General features: G+C 51.7%; 2 protein-coding genes and 1 long non-coding RNA gene across 7 annotated transcripts in view, besides 4 other annotated features; 2 read left to right on the top strand and 1 right to left on the bottom strand.

Annotated features, from left to right (window-relative positions):
* EHD4 (EH domain containing 4) overlaps window positions 1-18,834 on the top strand; it is a 76,625-nt gene extending 57,791 nt beyond the window's left edge. For both annotated transcript variants that reach the window (NM_139265.4, XM_047432408.1), the window contains exons 5-6: window positions 4,904-5,068; window positions 13,586-18,834. In NM_139265.4, coding sequence (NP_644670.1) covers window positions 4,904-5,068; window positions 13,586-14,122 — 702 coding nt within the window. In that variant the 3' untranslated portion in view covers window positions 14,123-18,834. The remainder of the gene's footprint in view (window positions 1-4,903; window positions 5,069-13,585) is intronic.
* Window positions 9,744-9,813: an enhancer, noted in NCBI's record as "active region_9288". NCBI's record gives its function as "activates an Ori minimal core promoter by ATAC-STARR-seq in GM12878 lymphoblastoid cells {active_cell/tissue: GM12878}" and the evidence as "EXISTENCE:reporter gene assay evidence [ECO:0000049][PMID:35858748]".
* Window positions 10,135-10,638: an enhancer, noted in NCBI's record as "H3K27ac-H3K4me1 hESC enhancer chr15:42196327-42196830 (GRCh37/hg19 assembly coordinates)". NCBI's record gives its function as "activates a minimal SCP1, AML or CMV promoter by ChIP-STARR-seq in naive H9 embryonic stem cells {active_cell/tissue: H9 hESC(naive)}" and the evidence as "EXISTENCE:reporter gene assay evidence [ECO:0000049][PMID:30033119]".
* Window positions 10,639-11,143: an enhancer, noted in NCBI's record as "H3K27ac-H3K4me1 hESC enhancer chr15:42195822-42196326 (GRCh37/hg19 assembly coordinates)". NCBI's record gives its function as "activates a minimal SCP1, AML or CMV promoter by ChIP-STARR-seq in naive H9 embryonic stem cells {active_cell/tissue: H9 hESC(naive)}" and the evidence as "EXISTENCE:reporter gene assay evidence [ECO:0000049][PMID:30033119]".
* Window positions 15,952-21,990, bottom strand: LOC105370792 (uncharacterized). Its single transcript, NR_135681.1, has 4 exons — window positions 21,689-21,990; window positions 19,431-19,540; window positions 17,246-19,187; window positions 15,952-16,600 (listed from the first exon to the last, which is right to left on the bottom strand). It is a non-coding gene; the product is annotated as an uncharacterized LOC105370792 (long non-coding RNA).
* Window positions 20,714-22,690, top strand: part of SPTBN5 (spectrin beta, non-erythrocytic 5) — a 45,908-nt gene continuing 43,931 nt past the window's right edge. For 2 of the 4 annotated variants that reach the window (XR_001751302.2, XR_001751303.2), the window contains exons 1-2: window positions 21,221-21,485; window positions 21,706-21,873. Coding sequence is in view for 2 of the 4 variants with exons in the window: in XM_017022299.2 (XP_016877788.1) it covers window positions 21,210-21,485; window positions 21,706-21,873 (444 nt within the window). In the remaining 2 variants the exon portion in view is untranslated. Of the gene's footprint in view, window positions 20,869-21,209; window positions 21,486-21,705; window positions 21,874-22,690 lie in introns of those variants that run through there. The other 2 variants (NM_016642.4, XM_017022299.2) reach the window with 2 other exon arrangements.
* Window positions 21,870-21,929: an enhancer, noted in NCBI's record as "active region_9287". NCBI's record gives its function as "activates an Ori minimal core promoter by ATAC-STARR-seq in GM12878 lymphoblastoid cells {active_cell/tissue: GM12878}" and the evidence as "EXISTENCE:reporter gene assay evidence [ECO:0000049][PMID:35858748]".

The raw sequence follows: 22,690 nt of genomic DNA, 5'->3' as shown, positions 1-22,690 counted from the left end.
GGCATTTTTTGTGCACCAAATGGATTCAGGCTAAAGCGTGTGAGAATCATGATATAATGGATCATGAAGATCCTGGTATTGCCTAGTCCTCGGCAGGGCTCTAAAAATAACTCAGTCAGCAGCCCTGAGCTACTGTGGATGTGTGTGTGTCAGTGCTTGAGCCCATAAATGGAAGCCTGTCTCTTTGAAGGTTGACCTCAGACAAGTGTGCAGCCCCCTCCGGTCCCCTTTAAGGCTGCACGGAATTACACGTGCCATTGGTGCCAGTTTTGATCTGAGCAGAATAACAAACCCTTGCTCAAGTCAGCTGCCCTTCTCTGCCTCTCACAGTCTCACACTCTTGTTACCCCATGGGTTCATCTTTTGGGTCTCAGGCTTATTAACTGAATTTTTTATATTATCATAAACCCACTTTATAAACGTGCTGATACCCTGGCTTTAAATACTCTATGCAGGTTTCCAGAGCTGGGCTTCCAGCCGCAGGTCTCCAGCAGGTTGCGTTAAGTTTGCAGATGAGCGTGGCACAGTGTGTCACCATGCCTTCCCAGCCCGCCTTCCCCAAACTACTGCCTGATCCTCACATTCCATGAAGCTTTTCATTCCAGCACTGGTCGCTTCCAGCATCCAGCACTCGCTGAAGTTACCCTCCAAGCCCAGAGTAGATGTGGCCAGTATCACTCTTTAGTACATGTGTCTCAGTCTTGGAGGCACACACACACACACACATCATTGGACACAATGAGATCTGTGTCAGAGTGTACGTGTGAACTACATATACATTCATATACATTTAAAAGGAAGGACTTTCCTTTCTGCTCATTGAGTTATTAGCCTAGAGAAAAATTGTCATTTTGTCATTTTGATCCATTTGATTTCCCCCAGTCATCCCCATTAGATGCCTTAGGGCTTCTGCAAGTTTACACAAGGCAAAGGATGACTTGAACAAGATACGAATGTTCAAAAGCCCCCAGGGGTCAATGTAAATTAAACACTTGGAACCCAAATTCATTATATTACTATTTAAATAGAGAGAGTTTATTAATTATTTGGTAAGGAGTAACCAGCCGGGAGCCCTCTCTCTCATTACTGTACCTCCAGCTGTTGGTCTTTGGCCATTAGTTGATAACAAGTTAACATTTGCTCCTCTTTCTAGTGAGCAGAGTGCATTCAAATACATGACCTCTTTTATTCTCATAATAACTCTGTGAGATGAATGTTGTTGTCATTTCTAATTTGTGGATGAGCACGCTGAGGTGGAGATGCCATGCCTGGCCCCAAGTTGCTCAGTGGGTAGGCAGTGGTCACGGGGCCTGAGCCTCATCTTCAAGCTCCAGGTCTAGTCCCCCTCTTCTCTTTCGTACTCCTCCTCTTCCCAATTAGTTTTCTCTCATTATAAAGGTCAGAAGACCCAAGTGTTTCCACCTCCTTCCCCAGGGACAACCACCAGGTCTGGCCCTGGGTCTGGCATGTATTTGGAGACACCTTTGACACATAATTGCAGGAGTGATCTCTGGAGGCTGACTGTGGATTTTAGTCATTCAAGCTGTCCCGTCTGTTTACCAGAAGACTTTAGAAAATGACAGGATGCCATCCTGCCAGCAGCTCGCAGTCTTCACCCGCATTCCCACGTGGTGTCCCGACGTTTGTGTGCCATCATTGTGTCCGTGTTTGATGTGTGGGGAAAGGGAGAATAAAGGACCCTTCCAAAGCCTCTCAGTGAATTAGGCACGAGCAGAAGTCAAACCTCAGATCAAAGTTTTCCAGACTCATTCTATGGGACACAGTTCATTTTGAATTCCAGATTTTGAACAACTTCAGTAAGATTATTAATGCATACCCACAGGGCATACCCACAGGGAGTCATTAGTTCTTTAGGGACAGGAACGAGGCACTTGGATGCTAGTGCCAGCTCTGTATCTACCAACTAGCTGTATGACCTTGAGTGAGTCACATGGATGTCCTGGAACCAGGAATTAAAGTAGATATTGGGGGGTCACTTCCAGATTCAGTATTTCATGATGCTAAGGATTATAATTTACCTTGTGACTTGATGAATTTTTTTTTCTTTTTTTGAGATGGATTCTTGCTGTGTCACCCAGGCTGGAGTGCAGTGGGGCAATCTCAGCTCACTGTGACCTCTGCCTCCCGGGTTCAAGCTATTCTCCTGCTTCAGCCTCCCGAGTAGCTGAGACTATAGGAGCACACCACCACACCCAGCTAATTTTTGTATTTTTAGTAGAGACAGGGTTTCACCACATTGGCCAGGCTAGTCTCAAACTCCTGACCTTAAGTGACCCACCTGCCTCAGCCTCCCAAAGTGCTGGGATTACAGGCATGAGCCATCGTGCCTGGCCAACTTGATGAACTTCTGAAAGCAGGTCTGTGCACAGAAGTTGGCCCTGGGTTATTGTTTAGGGCGCACCAGGAAGGGCAGGACGCGGGTGGACATGCAGAGGCAGCGTAACAGGAGACTTCCACAAACCTCGCTAACAGAACTTCCTAGAAGTGGAGGCTGGGACCGAGAGCAGCTGCAGTGTGAGCAGGTCACCTAAGGGTCATGACTCAGGTGGCACCAAGCTGGCGGAAGGAGGAGGGAGTTGAGACCTGGCACAAGATCAGCCCCAGGTTTATCAGGGCTGTGAAGGCCTAGTGTCGGGGCCACCTCGGTCATCAGCCAGCAAACACCATGAGGCCTGAGACGAGGGATCAGGTGACACTCAGTGGGTGAAGGGTGTGGCAGGTGCACATCAGCTGAGTTCAGTGCAGGTAAAGCAGGCCCTGGGCACCAGGGAGTGTTCAGGAACAGTGTGCCCAACCTCGGGGGGTGGGCGGCAGGGAGTGGGTGAGGAGTCAGCCAGATGAGCGGGAACTAAGCCCTCCCTGAGCTGGGGCCTGGCGGCTCAGAGGTACCTTACTAGTACGTGGTGAGGGCTCTTGGGAAGCCCTACAGAGGCCTAGGCAGCTGCTCCAGGGCTAGGCCCCAGAGCAGGGAAGGGGGTGGTCTCAATAAGAAGCCCTTGTGTTTGGGAGACTGAGCAGCTGTGGGGGCCTCCTGCTTCCCTTGGGGTGGCTCCAGGGTGGGGTGAGCCTGAGCACAGAAGAGAGAGGTATACATAGGTATACATAGAGAACATACTCATAGGCCCAATCCAGAATTTCCAGGAAGGTGGAGGCCAAGGAAATGATGCAAGGACAGCTGGTGAGCAGCTGGTTCTCCCTGATGGAACGTGGCAGCTCCTCCAGTCCAAGGGTGCTCCCTCAGCCCTGGCCCTCCCCAGCCCACCCACACCAAGCCAGGCATTCACTGTCGGAGGCAAAGGAGTTGGTATCTTACCACTTGCTCATCACAGCGGTTAAAGCCCAGGATTCTAAATAACGGATCCCAAACTTCGGGTTTCTCAAGTTATCTCTAAGAATCTTGTAAATCATTTCAATTGTCTTCATTTGAAAAATAAGTACATAAACAAGTTTGCTGGTGACAGAAAGGTTTAGCGTCATCTCTCCAAGACCATCCTCTCAGCGGTAGCCAGGCTGCACAGTGCATGCTTCTGTTAAACGACCCTTGTGCAGATGGGAAGTTGACATTGTCTGACCTCAGCATGTCAGACCTTGCATTAGGTACTTAGGTTAGCATCCAAATCCTCACAAAATGTTTTTGGCTGTGTCCAGCATGTGTCCACACACGGGCCCTCAGCTGAGCTATGGAATGTATCTGCTTACCCCCTTTATTTAATTTCAACTTCTACAAGATTACAGTAGAAGTCTGTTTTCTTTAATAGGATTTTCCGTTGCTACATAGTCATTTTCTTTTTGTAATCACCACTCTGTTTTTCATCCTTTCTTATTTTAGTTACTTACTTGACTTCACAATTACTCTGAAGTTCAAGATATACAAAGTAGCCGGGCATGGTGGTTCATGCCTGTAATCCCAGCACTTTGGGAGGCCAAGGTGGGTGGATCACCTGAGGTCAGGAGTTCGAGACCAGCCTGGCCAACATGGTGAAACCCCGTCTCTACTAAAAATACAAAAATTAGCCAGGCGTGGTGGTGCACACCTGTAATCCCAGCTACTCGGGAGGCTGAAGCAGGAAAATCGCTTGAACCAGGAGGTGGAGGTTGCAGTGAGCCAAGATCACGCTGTTCCACTCCAGCCTGGGCAACAGAGCGAGATTCCATCTCAAAAATATATATATACAAAGAGAACTTTTGTAGTGAACATTTCTTAATATCCTGAAGTTGGAAATCAGTAGAAGAGTGGAAATGTTGAGGCCAGATTCTCGCCCCTCCAATGACAGCCTGCTGGCTACCCCAAGCCCCAGTGATCAAGGTTTCTGGGGCTTCTGGGCTCCTCTCCCAGGGGGATCTTCTGCCATCCAGCCTGATCCCAGGCAGCTGGTCTTGTGCAGAATGACTTTAATTCCACCTGTAGAGATCTCAGAGTCTAAACCTCCCATAACAGGGGGGTTATGGGGATTCTCATCTCATCGTTCACTGGGTACAGATTTCCATGTTGATCAGCCATTGATGCCAGCCTCCAGTTTCATTTCCTGTTGCTCCCAGGCACCAGCCTGGTGAAACTTTCTCCTGGGTATTCTGGTTAATTGCCAGAACTAAGAGCTCTCCCACCCAGGCCCCACCCATACCACTCACTCCCTACAGACACCAGAATTGCCACTCAGAGGCACAACAGAACAGTAGCCGTAGAATTTCCCCAAGTCTGGCCACATTCCGGCCACCCTTGGACAGCTCCACTCCCCCTGGACCCTCCCCTCCTCCTGTCCTTGGGACCTGGTTTGTGTGGGTACCTGTTATGTGTTATGATGGAGTTAAGATGCAATCTTGTTTGTTCCTTCTCTGATGCAATTCTAAATGACACTTCCCTGCCTGATCTATACCCCTCCAGGTGCATGCCTACATCATCAGCTACCTGAAGAAGGAGATGCCAAGTGTATTTGGAAAGGAAAACAAGAAGAGAGAGCTTATCAGCAGGCTACCGGAAATCTACATTCAGCTACAGCGAGAATACCAGATTTCTGCAGGGGACTTCCCTGAGGTCAAGGCTATGCAGGTACTGGGAGCCCACTACAATGTCACGGGCAGAGGGCAGAGGTGCAGTGCCACATTGTCTGGCTGTTTGCTGGAGACAAATGAGAGTCCCATGGTTTAGGATCAAGGACAACGCATCTTCCTAATGGTGATCCATGATAATAGGCTATGAATAAAGCAGAAATTGCCTGTCTTCCAAAATGCGTAAACAAAGGAAACACATGGCCAAAGGTAAATGAAGCTCCCATGAGAAAGTCAGGTGAGCAGCCCTCTTAGACTGTGTCCAAGGAGGCTGGTTGATGTTGCGGTGACATTGGAATCCCAGAACTGTGAGGGAATCACAGCTGGGAGTGGCCTTCAGGGTCACCTTGGGCGGCCTCCTCCAGCCCTGCCCTGACCTGCCTCACGCCGTGGGATTATGTGCTCAGGCAGCCTTGCTGCTGCAGGCTCAAGGGCTCCAGCAGGGGCTGTGGGGCTCTGCGGACGCTGCTGGACTGCGTGGGCACAGGGAGGACTGTGCTTAAAGGCTGGTGCTGGGCAGCCATTGGCCTGCTGTCAAGGCCTCTCTTGAGTTGTGGCTGGGCAGCTCCAGCCAGGCAACAATGGGTGCTGCATTCAGCCGTCCTGCCCTGACCGGCATATCTACCTCTCTGCACTGCTGTTAGACGAGCGTGTCCTCACAAGCGAGGCCACCCATCTGGCTTCTGGGCTGACAGTCCTCACAGAGCCAGGCTGGCCGTCTTCTTATCTGCTGCAAGGACCCCTCTGCCCTGGGGGCCACAGTCCTCTCTGTAAAGCAGGAGCCACAAACTCAGATGCCTGCAGCCACCACCCAGTAACGCAAACAGTGGAGCAGGCCAGGCGAAAGAGAAACTCTGTCACCCTCTCTGGCTGCCTTTGGTTTTCCCACGTTTGATAGAGAAGAAGGTTCCAAGAAACATGTGTCAGCAAGGAAGAAAACCATCCCGAGGTGTGCTAAGAACATGTCAGGGGTCTCATGGCAGGGCAGATTGGACAATGCAGAAGCCCCGTCTAGCCCAGTGGTCACTGCCTTGTGGGACTACAGACCTGGAAGGCTCAAGAGAAGCTGGAAATCTGGATTTGTATGTCAGATCACCTGATTTTCACATTTAGGCTCAAAAAAATACTATGTAGGACAAACAAAGCCCACCTGCATATGGGCTGCACACAGAGACCACCAGTTACCATCTTTTGCCTTGAGCCACAGAGTGACAGCATTGAAGCCAGCATAGATTAAAAACTGCAAGCAGGTACAGCCCGAGGCAGGAGGAGGGAAAGGTGAAAGCAGAGAGGATACAGGGAGAAGGGAAGGTCGGGCAGAAGAGGCAAGGGCCAGCAGGTGATGAGAGGGGAACTTTGATCCTAAGGGGTTTTTTAATGCAAGCTTTATATAAATTATACACTAACTCAGAGGTGGGTTTTTCTTGCTGTTTTGATGACAGCTCTTTACACCTGGATTCAGAGTGAATCAGTCTAATATATTTGATCTGACCCAATATGCTTTAGCTGTATTTATTTTAAAATATATTCAGAGGGCCGGGTGTGATGGCTCATGCCTGTAATCTCAGCACTTTGGGAGGCGGATGCAGGCAGATCACCTGAGGTCAGGAGTTCAAGACCAGCCTGGCCAACATGGTAAAACCCTGTCTCTACTAAAAATACAAAAATTAGCCGGGTGTGGTGGCTATAATCACAGCTACTTTGGAGGCTGAGGCAGGAGAATTTGTTGAACCTGGGAGGCAGAGGTTGCAGTGAACTGAGATCGCACTGCTGTACTCCAGCCTGGGTGACACAGGCAGACCCCATCTCAAAAAATAAATAAATATATACACACACACACACACACACACACACACACACACACACACACACACAGAGCCTGGGCGCAGTGGCTCACACCTGTAATCCCTACACTTTGGGAGGCCAAGGCGGACAGATCACTTGAGCTTAGGAGTCAAGAGACCAGCCTGTGCAACGTAGTGAAACCCCGTCTCTGCAGAAAATCCAAAAAAATTGGCCAGGTGTGGTGGTGCATGTCTGTAGTTCCAGCTACCCGGGAGGCTGAGGTAGGAGGATTACTTGAGCCCTGGAGGTGAAGGTTGCAGTGAGCCAAGATCGCACCACTGCACTCCAGCCAGGACAACAGTGTAAGACCCCGTCTCAAAAAAATATATACACGCACACACAACAGAGAAATGTCTCTTTTCTTCCAGCAGTGAAATGGGTATTCCTGTGCTCACAAGCTGAATTGGGTTTTTCTGGTCACCAGGTGGTATTGGAGGGCTGTTGTGGCCTCCAGGAGCAGTCTCCCTGGGCAACTTCCCCATTCACACCCCTGGTTATGCCCTGTATCCCATGACCAAGGAGTAAGACAGCTGTTTCCTTGTACCCTTCAGATATTTCAGAAGGGAACTTGGTTTCTTGACCTAAATGAAAGTTATAAAGAAATACAGAGCCTGAGCTGTGGCCCAGTTGGGGCCTCTGTGCCTCGCTGGCTTCCTGAAGTTGCTACAGTGCCTTGCCACAGGGAGACGCTGCTCTTGAGCCCTGGGGCTCCACAGAGGCCTCCCTTGCCAGGCCTCTCCTGCTGGTCCCCTGTGAGCCCGATAATGTAGGGAGCAGGCTCTGGGACCAGAGCTACTCATGACAAAGCTAGCCTGGGCTGGCCAGGTCAGAAGACACCCAGGGTCCTCTGAGCTGGGGGAAGGCAACAAGGAAAGCATGATCTCAGGAGCAGCCATGGCCCACTGAGATGGAGGGTACAAGGAGGGCCAAGCCTTTGCTGAGAATCACCTGGACTCAGGTCTATGCCCAGTACCTTAGCACCACGGAAGGTGGGTGAGCAAGCAAGTGCAGGATCCAGCCAGCCACTCCAAGTGCTGACATAGGAGCAGGCTCTGTGCATGGTCTGCAGCCAGACCAGGTGTGTCACCCCAAGGGGAACGTGGCAGTGCCCAGGCAGGGATGCCCGCAACCCCAAAGCCCCAGAGGGGGTGCTACAGTGTGCTAATTAGCTCTTTTAGTTGTGCATCATGTTAGCAGCTCAGTCACCCTCTTGCCCCACTCTGGCCCATGGCTCCGGTCCAGCTCGACCCCACCACTGCTTCTGTTGAGTGGCACGGCTACCCTGCAATGGTGAGGGCAGAGGGCCAGTGTTACAGCCTTTCTGGGTACCTGCGTTTGGTGGGTCCCAAGCTTTTGTCCTGCATCCAAGAAGAATAAGGTCATGCTGACAATTGAAGAGTGATGAGGGTGGAGGATTTTACTGAGCAACAAAACAACTCTCAGTGAAGAGGGGATGGGAAGATTGGGTTGTCTCTCCTGAAGTCAGGTCATCTCCCCAGTGTGGCTGAGTCTGGGGTTTTTATAGGCACAGGATAGAGGAGTGCATGCTGATTGATTTGTGAGTATGCAAAAAAGGTTAAAACAAAGGCACCAGTCAAAGGTGGACATAACAGTGTAAAAACAATTAGGGAAGGGTAGGTATATGTAAAATAGGTGAAGGGTGAGGATCAATCAAAGAAAAGCAGCCAAATGGAAAGACAGGTTCTCAATCCAGTCCATGGATTTGACTTGTAGCTTGGCCTGCAGGCTTTAAACTGCCTTTGGCTTGAAGATAGGGTTTCACTGGAGACCCACCCCTATCTGCCTCAGCATTTTTCTGCCTCCTGCTGCTATCACTGTTCTAGGCCCCTGGAATAAATCAACACAAAAAAATGAACAAATGAGGCTGGACATAGTGGCTTACGCCTGTAATCCCAGCACTTTGGGAGTCTGAAATGGGAGGACTGCTTGAGTCCAGGGGTTGGAGAACAACCTGGGCAACATAGTGGGACCCGATATCCATTAAAATATTTTAAAATTAGCCAGGTGTGGTTGGCTCATGCCTGTGTTCCCAGCCAGTTGAGAGGGTGAGGTGGGAGGATGGCTTAAGCCCGGAGGTCGAGGCTGCTATGAGCCATGATCACGCCACTGCACTCCAGCCTGGGCGACAGAGGAGACCCTGTCAAAAAACAGAAAAAATGAACAAATGGGGGTAAAAATAATTGACAGCAACCCCACTGTAAGGACACATGTTTCTTGTTACAATATGAGCACTGTTGTGCTTCCATGTAATTGAATTATCTGATGTCTGATATTTAGTATCTCTCTCCCACGTAAGTCTGTGGCTCCATGAGGTCAGTGACCCATGCCCTGTTCACTGCCATATCCCCAGCATCTAGGACGTGGTGAGTGCTCAATTCACACAAGCCAAGTGAATTAGTAAGTTAGTGTAAGGCCATATCACAGCAGGCTCTCAGGCCCTGACGCAGCCTCGATTCCCACAGGGCTTATAGACCAGGGGTTCCCCGTGCCAACCCCTAGAAGCTGCAGGAAGAGGCCTCCTTGGGAAGTAGGCTGAGGCCCAGTCACATCACCCCATTCCTTCGGAGAATCCCCAAGGAACAAGGCAGCCTGGAGCCTGTCAGGAATGCTTAGTGTCACCTGATACTGCAAGCTAGCTTGCTGTCACCGGAAGCTTTGAGGGGCGCGTGTGTGGGTTAGGGCCTGTCCCATCCCTGAGGCTGTTAAAGTCTAACATCCTCTGTAACATAGGCCTTGACAGAGGGGGGACATACGCTTAGAAGTGACCACACTGTGATCTTTGCACATATCAGGGTCACGCAGAGAGCTCGCTGATGCCAGCTTTAGGTTGTTATTCTCCCTGTTCTCTCATGGAGCCAGCTGGTCAGAGTGACTCTTAGCTGTAGCAGTGAGAGGAGAGTGTATTCTGAAGGCCCTTCCCTGAGCTGGGACAGGCCCTGCAACCCACCTGTGTGGCTGCCTGTGCGTGCCTGGCACGCTCTGGGGAGGGACCGTGACTGACAGCACAGTGTTAATACTGCAGGACAAGATGAGCACCCGAAGGGCCACCGTTACTGCTGACTCTGCTCCTCTGACTGGAAGGAGAATTTGGACCCCTCAGCTCATGAGTTGGCAGCATTTCAACAGCAGAGGGCAGCAGAGTCAGCCCCATCTGCTCAGACCCTCTGGTGGATTTGAAAACTCTTCTGGTTAATGTTGGCAATTAATGGGCAAGGGACAGCCCCACCAGAGACGGGGCTGGGAACTGACCTTTGCCTCTTGAGAGGGAGCAATTCCAGGGTCCTGGCTTAGTGGATACAACTGTTGATGGGCAAATACCTTTAAGTTCCCCAGTGTGTATTCATCCCAATAAGAACTGTTTTGGACTCACCGTGGCAGAGGGCAGGGATGATGATGGTTTGGTGCTGATGTCAGGAGTGACATGATGATGGTTTAACTGGTGCCCCCGCAGTCCCCGGTCAAGCCTGGGGGGGACCACAGGGATGAGAATGGAGGGTTTATTTCTTGCCTGCCTCCCAGGACAGGAATAACTGCTGCCTCCTGTCCACCCCTGCAAATATGCGGCCACTCCCCCTGCCAGTTTTCCAGAGCTCTGCAGTCGGAATCCACGGCCCCTGCAGGCTGGTGGGAAGTTTGGGCAGGCATCACCCTCCTTTGTCTGCTGGGCCAGACACAGGGGCTCTGTGTGCGCTCTGAGCGCAGGCTCATTCTTAAGGAAATGGGGTAGGTGTTCACGCACCCGGGGAATCCAAACTCGTTGACCCAGCAGCACTGGGATTTTTGTGGGGGACGCCTGCTCCTCCACCTGCTTAGCGTTCTCTTTTCCATCTCCTTGGCCCATTGAGATGTTGGTGGCAGGAGCCCGAAGTGCAGGCCGCATTGTTTGGTGCTGATGTCAGGAGTGACATGCTAGTGACTGCGTTTGAGAGACCCGGCCTGCAGTACCCGCTGCTCTGAGCTGAGCAGGGGCCACACGCTGGGTTTGCATGGTTTGATGGCTGCTGACTTTACTTCCTGAGAATATGTCAGAGTCCCTTCCCTAGAGAAATGTCAGCCCGTTTAGCTGATATTTCTCAGCTCTGTCCCCCCACCAACTACCACCCAGGAATCCCCTTCCAAATGTCAGCCCAGAATTCCTGCCCTGCCACCCTAGAGACCATGATTTTGATTCTCTATTGGAAACAACCTGTGTGTCCAGCTATAGGGGACAGGGTTAATTAAGAATGGCCCAGCTCTACAGTCTAAGTTCAATATTCTGTAACTGTTAAGAGAAAGGTTATGTAAAAATTAATACCACAGAAATATATGACATATTATTTGTTAAGAGTGTGGTATTGTTTCAGTGTGTGTGTGTGTGTGTGTGTGTGTGTGTGTGTGTGTATGTATGTTAATGGCTAGAAATGCATGCCCAGATATGCTAGCAGAGGTTTTTGCCAGATGATGAGATTATAAATTATTTTAAATTTTTAGTTTTGCTTACCAGTTTTTTCTGTTTTTTTTTTTTACAAGAAAGCATGATATTTATGATAACACCAAGTTTTTTTTTTTTTTTCCTAGCAGCCTGTCACATTGCTTCTGTCCAAAACAGCGAGGTCTGACTTTTCCTTGCAAATCTCCCTGCCTCATCTCCAGAAAATTGCACACCTGCATGGCCTCTCTTTGGCCCCCTCTAGAACTGTACATACAGAAATACTTCACATATAAAACCTGCCATACCTGGAACATTTCTGCATTTATTTAATAAAACTACTGTTGAAGACACTTTTCATCAGATCTTTGAAGCCTGTCATGTAAAGCTCTAGGTAACTCTCGCAGTTCAGAGCCACAGAAAGTTTGTCTCTTGCAATAAACAAGTGTTTTCTCTCCTTAGACAGTGAGGGTCCCCAGGGGTCCCCCTGGGCAACTGAGCTCTTCTCCTTATACAGGCGGTAGTTTTCCTTAACCTTAGCCATCTGATGTGATTATTCCCTTCCTCTCCCTAACATATATATATACATATGTATATATATACATACATATATATACACATACATATATATACACATACATATATATACACACATACATATATGTATACACATACATATGTATATATATATATATGGGTCTAATGACCAGGCTGGTCTTGAACTCCTGGGCTCAAGCAGTCTTCCCACCTTGACCTCCCAAAGTGCTGGGATTACAGGTGTGAGCCACTGAGCCTGGCCCCTCTCTCCCTTTTAATGACTTGGCTTTTTTCTTTCTAATGACTTTATAGATTTCATGTTATCCTTTTCACTGTGTTATGTCAAGTCCTTTTTTAAACAATTGGAGTATCCTTCCTCCATTACAACATAAGCTCATTTAAAGCAGGAATTATGGCTTTTCATATTTATTCTGTATCCCCAAGCCCCAGAACAGGGGCTGGTGCAGAGTAAATGACAAATAAAAGTTGGTCGGGTAGGTGGATGGATGGATGAATTGTTGGCTGAATGGATGGATGGAGGGTTGGTTGAATGGATGGATGGTTAGTTGGAGGATTAGTTGGACAGGTGGGTTGTTGGATGGATGGATGGATGGATGGATGGATGGATGGATGGATGGATGGATGGAGTAACCAAGGAGAACCAAGGTAGGAAGGTCAGTTTCTACGGTGCCATCCACAGAGCCTCTGTGGCATCCTGTAGTCTGCCCCAGCCTGGTTGGGCAGTCACAGTGTTTCCCAGGCCCCCTCTAGAGCCTGTGCTTCTGCTGCTCTGTCTGCTGACAGGCTGCCTCACTCAACAGGTAGAGCTAAGATATGTCCTGACCTGGCCAGTGATACTCAGGCTTACCAGCTACGTTTATTCCCTCGTGCTCCCCAGCCCTACTCCCTGCTCTTACAAGTTCCAGCTTTTGCTTATTTGTCCATATTTTAGAAATGACAGTGGATTCATGATGATTATGTTGTATATGCAAGGTCTCCGTGGCCCTGCCTCGATACCTTCCTGGGGTAGCACAGGTGCCCCTGGTCAGGCCGTACTTGGTGGGGCTGGTCCTACGGGGTTCCTGTTGAGTAGCGCCCTCAGCTCATTCATAAGAGGTTAGAGCCACTAAGAAGCTGTCCTACACTACATTTTTTTACGTGTTCCGAAAACAAGGTATTTAATTAGTTGTTTTATGTAAACATAGTCCTTCTGTCACAGCTCTGTGTTCCAGCACAGAGAGCATTAGTCAAGAGCCAGGAGACAGGGGCTCTGCTTTGACTCTGCCAGACAGCCCCTCACAGCTCTCTGTAAAATGTGGTTCTAAATGCCTGCCCCTCCTTCCTCCCAGGATTGCTATGAAGATCGGCTGAAGTGTGTAGTGAAATCCCTTGAGAAATAGAATACTAACTCTAGAGCATTTTTAAAAAGGCAGGTGAAAGAAGGTTTCTCAGAGTCCTCGGAGGTTGCTGTCGCTCATGCGGCCACCAGCAGAGATTGGCTGCCATAGGAAAAACACTTGTTTCTTGTTCCAAAACAACCACTCCTATATGTGGTACATCTGGATGTGGGAAGCTCCCAAAGAGTGCACTCCTGAGTAGTGGGTGGGACGTCTGCCTGGGGCAGAATTAGTCTCCCTCCAGTGGCCCCCAACTGTTTCCCCCTGAAGAGACCACATGTAACCCATCCTGTGGTTTGTCCTTCTGCAGGAACAGCTTGAGAACTATGACTTCACCAAATTCCACTCGCTGAAGCCCAAGCTGATCGAGGCAGTGGACAACATGCTGAGCAACAAGATCTCGCCCCTCATGAACCTCATCAGCCAGGAGGAGACGAGCACGCCCACGCAGCTGGTGCAGGGCGGCGCCTTCGATGGCACCACCGAGGGCCCCTTCAACCAGGGCTACGGGGAGGGTGCCAAGGAGGGCGCCGACGAGGAGGAGTGGGTCGTGGCCAAAGACAAGCCCGTCTACGACGAGCTCTTCTACACTCTGTCGCCCATCAATGGCAAGATATCAGGTGTCAACGCCAAGAAGGAGATGGTGACCTCCAAGCTGCCCAACAGCGTCCTGGGCAAGATCTGGAAGCTGGCCGACTGCGACTGCGACGGCATGCTTGATGAGGAGGAGTTCGCGCTGGCCAAGCACCTCATCAAGATCAAGCTCGACGGCTACGAGCTGCCCAGCAGCCTGCCCCCCCACCTCGTGCCCCCCTCGCACAGGAAGTCCCTGCCCAAGGCCGACTGAGGGGTGGGCTGCAGAACGGGGTGGGAACTGGGGGACCTGGGCCTCAGGCCTGCTCCACCACTGACTCACCGAATGACCTTGGGCAAGGCACTGCCCTCTCTGTGCCTTGGTTTCCCCATCTGTAGAATGGGGAGGGTGGACACTGGAAACTAGATGACTTCTTTCACCTCCAAAATTCCCTTAGTTTCTATGAAAATATTGGGGGTAGGGGGGTGGATTAGGAGATTGAAGGGTTGAGAAGAAAGAGAAATTGTCCAAAGAGTCCTCAGAACCTGCCTGGAGAAATGCGCATGGGGGTGGGCCTGGTAAGTCCCAGGAACCACAGGAAGTGAGCTAAGGCTCACCCAGAGCAGCTGGGTCTCCAGGCTGCCTGGGCTTTTTGTCCTCATGAACAACTCTGGAGCAGCTGTCTGTCCCTCAGAGGGCACCTGGAGGCAGCAAAGATTATCTTATTTATTTTATTTTGTTTTCTGCTATATTTAGAGTGGCAAAAAAATAGAGCAGAGGGTTTCTGCTGTCTCCAGACTGTCTACCAAAGAGAAGGCGACAGATGCCTCCTGGGTTTGGAAGGGGGATGCACTGTGGATCTGCCATCCATTCTGCAGTCTCCAGCAGAGCAGGCAGTCAGGCCCCAGCGTGCCTCCATCCCAGTGCCCCGATGACCATCTGGTCAGCCCTCCCAACCTCCCTTCCAGGGGGCTTACCAGCAAAGCCATATTCGGCTAGGAATTTGGAATTCACAACCTTTATTAACCCCTGGCAAAACTTCCCGTTTGCATGTCAAATCACATTGAAGCCTGAAAATTAGCTTTTCTTACTGGTTTTTCCAATAAGTAATAGCAAAGCCCACTTATCATACTTAAACTACAGTAAAGAAAAGAGGTGGTTCTCTGCAGTGATCGTTTAGTGTGGCCCTCAAACATTAAATATCCCGAGGTCTCCTTGGTGGGTGGCAGGATTTAAATTCAATCAAATCCTGTCCTAGTGTGTGCAGTGTCTTCGGCCCTGTGGACACAGGTGAATGAGGGACCAGCCCTGCCCTGGGCTGTTGAGAAGAGATCAGTCCACCCAGAGTTAGACATTGTTTTTGTAGAAAACAGGCATTTATTATGTCTAGGGTTTTGTGTTTTTTTTTTTTCCTTACAGGATAAAAGCCTTTATACAGAAACAAAATGGAACCTTTCATATAAAACCTTTTCTTTAAAGGCTGTGTGGTTCGTATCATGAATGCCCATCACGAGGCAGGATTCGGGCACATACCTGTACTTCTGCTCCAGAGTGTGCGCTCCCCAAATCCCCTGAGTAAACCTCTCTGGACTGCTGCTCAGACACCTGCGTCAGGTGGAGGTGCCTCCCCCTCTGTGGGCACCAGCTTGGGGAGGTAGGTGACTTTTCCTTGCAAATCTCCCTGCCTCATCTCCAGAAAATTGCATACCTGCATGGCCTCTCTGCATTATTTATGCAGGAAGAGACACGAAACAGCAATGGCCACATGGTATGGGGGCCTGCTGGCACCAGAAGTGAATGAAATCAGAACCGTCCCACTGAGTCTTCCAAAAGGCACATAATTTTTTTTTTCTGTCACCTGCCTTTGGTGACAGGGTCAAAGGCACAGATTGAAGAGAAAATCTTGATTTGGGAGAAGCATTTATATCCAGATGCCTACCCTTACACTCCCTAGCTTACTTTCTACATAATTTAGTTTTAAGAGCAGGAAATGCATAACATGGTTTTTAGTCTTAACAAGCACTTAAATTCATTAGACGCATAGAAAAGAACCATTTATTATTTTATTATTTTTATTTTTATTTTGAGAGGAAGTCTCTGTCACCCAGGCTGGAGTGCAGTGGCGCAATCTCAGTTCACTGCAACCTCCGCCTCCCAGGTTCAAGTGATTCCCCTGCCTCAGCCTCCCAAGTAGCTGGGACTACAGGCACCCGCCACCACGCCCGGCTAATTTTTGTATTTTAGTAGAGATGGGGTTTTACCATGTTGGTCAATATGGTCTCGATCTCCTGACCTCGTGATCTACCCACCTCGGCCTCCCAAAGTGCTGTAACCTAAGCAGACAGTTCTGTGAATGCGTGAGGACCACCTGAAGTCTGCAGCCACGGTGGAGGTCACCAAAGGGTGAACTGAGAGAGAAGAGGGAATTCACTTGCCCAAAGGTTTACAGATGCCCAGGCAAACTGATTTTTCCATCCAGAATTATCTTGTTCTTTAACTCTCCTCAATTGTCATATATAAACATGAATTTATATACATGTGTGTCACATGAGTATGTCGTTTTAAAACAACGTGTACATATGTAAGTTTTGTCTGGATACAGAAAGCTGCTTTAGAGGGCAGCAGGTTGAGGTCTCTGATTTCTCCGTGGAGGAAAACCTCTCAGGCACTGTGATCTCCCTACCTCTGCGCTCTCAGGTGGGAGAGGCGTCAGGCAGCGGAGTCCTTTCCCTGCTGGCACCTGGTAATGTTCTTGGAGAGAAAGGAAAAAAAAAGGAAATCATTTGGCCACTTTTCTTAATATCCTCTTACATGCAGTCATTCATCAAGAAAAGTTGACTGGAAAAGAAAACACTAGAAAATATGAGGGATGGCGACCAAGTGAGGACTTGTATCTTCCCAGGACCAGTACAAAGTTCTGTGAATGTGTCCACACCACCAGCTGTCTCCCTACCCCACACGGCAGGGCGGCAGGGCCGACCCTGGGGCCTGCTCACCATCACCGTTGCCCTTCCTGCACCACCCCAATTTTCAAAGAACCTCTTCCACAGAGTGTTTATGTATAGGAGAGAGGGTGGAAGTACCTAAACTCTAGAACTACAACATCTAAGAAGCTGAGGCCCTGTTTTCTACACAGCATATGGTATCGCATAACACAAACCTTCCGGTCTTGAGTTTAAAGGGAAAATGAAAACTCCAGCCTATTGCTCCCACAGTCTGCTTCCAAGTTGTCAGCCTGCCAGTGAGGGTCTCCTGACCCCGTTTGTAGAGAAACACTGCACTAAGACTTGGGAATCTCCCCAGCTCCCAGGGAGGGGTGGCACACAACAGCCTTCCAACCTGCTTCCGCCTCCTGCTCCAGCCCTGCAGCGTCTGTCAATTCATTTCTCAACTCACCGCACTTGGATGGCCTGGGGGCAGGGTTGCTCTTCTGGGGGAGGGTCATTCATTCAGTTGGCTTTTGGCTTTCCTTTCTCCGGGCTGGGCCTGGTTCTCTTTTGAACACTTGTCGTGCTGCAGCAAGAGCATCTTTGGATTTGGGGCTGTGGAGCTGTGGTTCACCCGCGGGAGTCACAGCCGCGGCCTGGACCTTTCCACCTCGCACCCTCGCTCACCCTCCTTCATGATGCCTGGAGGATGCCTGAGACAATTGCCTTGAAGATGAGGAAAGTGTTTCACTGTTTATTTTCTCCATGGGATGTAGCAGGCAAGCATGCTTAGGACAGAAAACCACTGAGTTTACTCAGGTAAATGCGGGCCTAATACAAGAGTATTGGGTTCCAATGTTGGTTAACCAATGCAGTTAATACGCAATGCTTCTATTTTTTTTCTTTTTGTAATCTTATTTAGAAGTTTCAAACAAAAAGACATAGTCTGCTGATCAATAAACATGGAGCTGCCCTCTCCCACTGGCTCATTTTCCAGTGGCTGCGTGCTGGCCTCTCGGAGCAGAGTGTGGATCCCTGGATCCAGGTTGAACCGGGGGAGAAGAGTTAGGGAGAGGGTGTGCCTGTGAGCCCCAACTCTTCCTGTGGAGAGAAACCCAAAATGCAGCCGCTTCAGAAGGAAAGCGGCCCCATCAGGTGGGGACAGAAGAGGGTAGGCAGCAGAGGCCAGGTCTGTGGACAAAAGCCCCACTTCAGAGTGGTTGGAAGCCAGGACAGGAGGGACTCATGGAGGTGACCGCTTCACAGGAGTCCTTTCTCCAGTCGTGCTAGGGAGGAGCCCCTGCCTGTCCAGCACTGCCCCTGCCTCTTGCTGTACCTTGCCAGTGTGCCCTCCCCCCGCCCACTACCATAGTAGGCATCTGGCTTTTCCCACCAACCCATCTACCTTTTTGGTGGTCCAGACCTACAGTCTCCTTGCAGAGCACTCCTCCTCCCACCCTCACTTCAAGTGAGGTTTGGATGAGATTGACCACATCCCCTTGGTCACAAATATTGGCTCAGGAATGGACATGTGGCCCTGTTCAAGCCTATGAGAGCCAGGACCCCCAGACTTATGTTAGAACTCTTGAGAGAGATACTCTGTCTTCTCTGAACCTTGCAGTATATAGAAATGAGCCTATTGATGCAACAATATAAATGGCACTGAGAGGGGTGTCCAGAGCTGCTGGGGTCAGGGGAGGGAGGTCAGCCTGGCAGAAGCCATCTTGTGGAGCATGAAAATGAAAGAGACCTTGAGAAAGGCCAGAGGAATCCAGGCCTGTGGTGACAACATTTGAGCTGCTGGATCAAACCTCACCTGAAGTCCTTCCTATTCCTACTAGATATTTTTTTCCACTGTGTGGGCCAATGCATTCCCTTTATACTGTGTAAGCCAGGCATGGTGGCTCACACCTATAATCCCAGCAATGCAGGAGGCTGAAGTGGGAAGATCGTTGAGGCCAGGAGTTCAAGACCAGCCTGGGCAACCTAAGAAGACCCTGTCTCTAAAAAAGAATTAAATATAAATAAATAAATAATAAAAATATAATGTTTAAACCAGTTTCACTTGAGATTTTAGTTACTTGCAACATAAATAATCCAAACTTTGTTCCGACCCACAGGGTTCTCATTTCACCAGGGGCTGCAATCAGTCGTGGCCAAACAGGAGCCAGTCCTTGCATTGTATGCAGTGGCTTTAGCTGCCGTTGAGCTAGAAAGGAAGAAAAGCAGTCCACAGCCCCCGCCAACAGCTTCAAAATGCCAATCCCTGTTGAGGTCTATGTGCGAAGCACCACGCAGTTCAGTCTGTCCTCCCCGCTCACAACATCACACAGGACTCCACGGGCCGAGCAGTTCAGTCTGTCCTCCCACGCTCACAACATCACACAGGACTCCATGGGCTGAGGGTCTTACTAGGAGAAGGAACAAGCTCAGTCTCCCTGGGGTAAGCGGGTGGGATGAGGGACTTCCTAGAAGAAACAGGATTTTAACTGGGGCAGGCAGGATAGGTGAATGTGGATGATGGAGAATGGGAAAGGACGTTCAAAGCTGAAAGAGCAGCTGAAGCCCAGCCTTGGGGCAGGAGAGCTCTGGTCCTGCTCAGGAAATGGTGAGTGGCCCATGGAGAGCACCCAGAGTGAGGGGGGCAGACTAGCCTGGTTAGGTAAGCTGGCAGGCTTCCAAGGCCTGGCTGAGGCAAGGTCTGGCAAGTCTGGATTTTCCTTCCCAGGCTGTGGGAGGCTTCACAGGCACGAGCAGAGCTGCACTGTGGAAAGGTGCGGGGTGGTGGTGTCCAGGATGCCGAGTTAGGGGGTCCGTGATGAGGACCCCCAGGGGCAGTGAGGGCAGAAGGGGGGGTGCACGGGAGGACCGCCACAGCAACTGCTGCGAGCAAGGGAGGGACGCAGGGTGTCTGGAAGCCAGCCGCTGCAGAAGGGGCCTGGCAGGGAGAGGACAGCAGGAGAGGAAGCGTCTCTCAGACGCAGGAAGCCGCACCCCACCCGAGACCACGGCACCTCTCAGCGTCACCCCTGACTGCCTGCAGTGGGCCCAGGCGGTTCAAGTGTGACTCATCCCTAGCCCAGCTCTCAAGGGCGCGCTGAGCGGCTGTCCTGCTGTGGGCTGTGGCTGCCAGGAGCGCCTCCCTGAGGAGCGGGCTGTCGCTTCAGAGGCTCCAGGGCCGCTGGAAGACACCCACACACACACACCCCAGCCCACACTGCTACCCTGAGTTTAGCCAGAGGCGGGTGAGACCCCCAGAATTAGAACTCGCCTTCACTCTGGCATGTAGTCCACGGCTGCTCGGGGAGGAAGGGATGGGCGCCCACCAGCTCCCTCTGCACCCCTGCCTCCGAGCCCCGGGCCACGGCCAGCTCTGTGGAGCCCAGAGTTAACACCGTGTCTCTAATTTTGGAGGAGACTCCACAGCCCTCGCAGTTCCAGGTCACCCCTTCCTCCAGGGAGCCTACCCTTCAGCCCCGGGCTAGGCAGGCTGCACTCTGGCAGGGCCTGGAAAGCCAAGCCCAGGGTCTGTGAGGCCCTCAGTCTATGGGCTGTTCCCTGGGGGTGAATGAGAAGACCACGGCCCAGGACGCTCCCTCATCCCCTCGCCCTGGGTGCTCACAGAGAGGCCCCAAGAGGGTACAGAGGGCAGTCTCAGATTGGGAAGTGCGTCCACAGGCTTCCCACAGAGGCTCTGCCCTTTGGTACCTCCTACGCAGACTGCAGCACCCCATGCGGTGGCAGGGCCGCTCCATGGGCCTCTGCGTCCTGGGAGCCAGGACCCCCACCTGGAGTTGGAGAAGTTGCTGGCGGGGAAGGGAGGATGATGAAGGAGGACATCATCTGGCAATGGCCCTGGAGCATTCCTGAACCACCCCCTCCCTGTCTGGGCCACGCCCTGTGGCAGGTGGGAGGACAATGCCGCCTGTGTGCCGTCACCCCAGCACGCTGGCTCAAGGGGAGGGCTGTGGTGCAGCCCTGCTCCAGCCTTGGCCTCTCCTGATGTCCCTCTCCCTCCCTCCACAGCCCCTGCTATCTGCCATCTCCATCCGTCCAGCTGGGCCGCCTCTGTGGAACCCAGGCATCACCAAGGTAAGCAGCCCCTGCTATCTACCATCTCCATCCGTCCAGCAGAGCCGTCTCTGTGGGACCCAGGCATCACCAAGGTAAGCAGTTTCCTGTCTTCCTTCCACCTGTCCCAGTCACTGTGGTGGAGGGACCTGGCAGCAGGGGCTCTGAGAAGAAGAATCTGGAAGGTGGGGTGGGGCAAAGGGGGCCCTGGGCCATTCAAGCACAGGGGACCAGAAGCACTGGCCCTTACCTGGCTGGGCTCCAAGCTGCAACCCCCATGAAATGTGAGGACAGTCTGGCAAGGCGGGACCCCAGGCCCCTGGTAGAGGGGCCATCTCCATTCACATCATCCCCTAATCTGCATGCCCTCCAGGTTTAGGGAGCCATCCAGCAGCTCCTCATCCCCAAAGTCTGCAGGGCTGATGGCTGGTCAGCCCCACAGTCCCCGGGAGCTCCTCGGGGCTGCAGGGCACCGCAGCAGGAGGCCCAGCACAGAACTCCGGGTCCCGCCCAGTCCAAGTCTCACCATGGACTCTCAGTACGAGACGGGCCACATTCGCAAGCTACAGGCCCGGCACATGCAGATGCAGGAGAAGACTTTCACCAAGTGGATCAATAACGTCTTCCAGTGCGGCCAGGTGAGTATAGCCAGCTGTGACCCACAGCCCACCCATACCAGGCCCCCAGCTCTGGCCAGTGGGCCTCCGGGGTGAGCTGTGGGGTCATCTGCCTGAGGCCAAGCTGAGGCCAGAGCTCCTTCTTCCAAAGCAGCTGCTCTGGGTCGTACCTCTCAGGTCCCAGGATGGGAGGACAGGTGAGGCTGGGCTGACCCCATACTTACCCCTGTCCCCTCCCCAGGCGGGCATCAAGATCCGGAACCTGTACACAGAGCTGGCTGACGGCATCCACCTCCTGCGGCTGCTGGAGCTCATCTCAGGGGAGGCCCTGCCACCCCCGAGCCGGGGCCGCCTGCGTGTGCACTTCCTGGAGAACAGCAGCCGAGCTCTGGCCTTCCTCAGGGCCAAGGTGGGCCCCAGGGAAAGGGGTCTGGGATGGTGCTGGGGCAGGCAGCTGGGACAGGCTGAACTACTGGGTCACCTTTCCTGCGCCAGGCCACTGGGCAGAACAGAGGAGCTGGGGCCTGAGTACAGGAGGAGTGGCTGGGACACAGAGGAGCAGAAGCCACGCCCTCCTCGCACAGCACCCCTGACTTGGAGAGCACCCAGCTGGCCATGGCAGTAGCAATCCAGGTCCCTACTGGGGTGGAAAATGTCACTGTCTGTCATAAGAGAGACTCACAGGATTCTAGGCCAAAAGAATCTTAGCGTTCTCTTAGGCTTTTCATTTCACAGATGAGGAAACAGAGGCCCTGAATTATTTACCAGGCAAGATCGATGGTTAACCAGCCAACAGAGCCCAGATGTGGGACTAAGACGGCAGGTGGGGAAGAGGAGCAGGGCCTGTCTTGGAGAAGGAGGGAGGAGGCCTCAGCAAATGGGGGGAGGCAGAGTCACCTGAAAGAAAGGGACAGGCTAAGGAGATGGGCACTAAAAGGAGGCCGGAGCTCCAGGGACAGAGGGACCCTCATGGCCAGGGTGAGGGGCTGGTGCAGGGGTGGGGTGGGGCAAAGGGATCATTGGAAACCGGGAACTGTGAAGGCCAAGGGCTCCTGGAGGTGGCTGTCCCTGGAGGCTGTGAAGTCACTGAGCTGGGCCTGGCTGGATGGAGCCTGACTGTGCGTGCCTATCACTATATCCTGGAGTGGAGCTTACATCCAGCCTCCTGGGGTGTGTTGGAGGAAAGCCAGGGAGGGGAGAAGCCCAAGCAAAGGGAATGGGAGTGA

This window comes from Homo sapiens, chromosome 15 (genome assembly GCF_000001405.40).
Source record: "Homo sapiens chromosome 15, GRCh38.p14 Primary Assembly".
NCBI classification, from domain to species: domain Eukaryota; kingdom Metazoa; phylum Chordata; class Mammalia; order Primates; family Hominidae; genus Homo; species Homo sapiens.
This window is presented reverse-complemented; position numbering and strand designations above follow the sequence as displayed.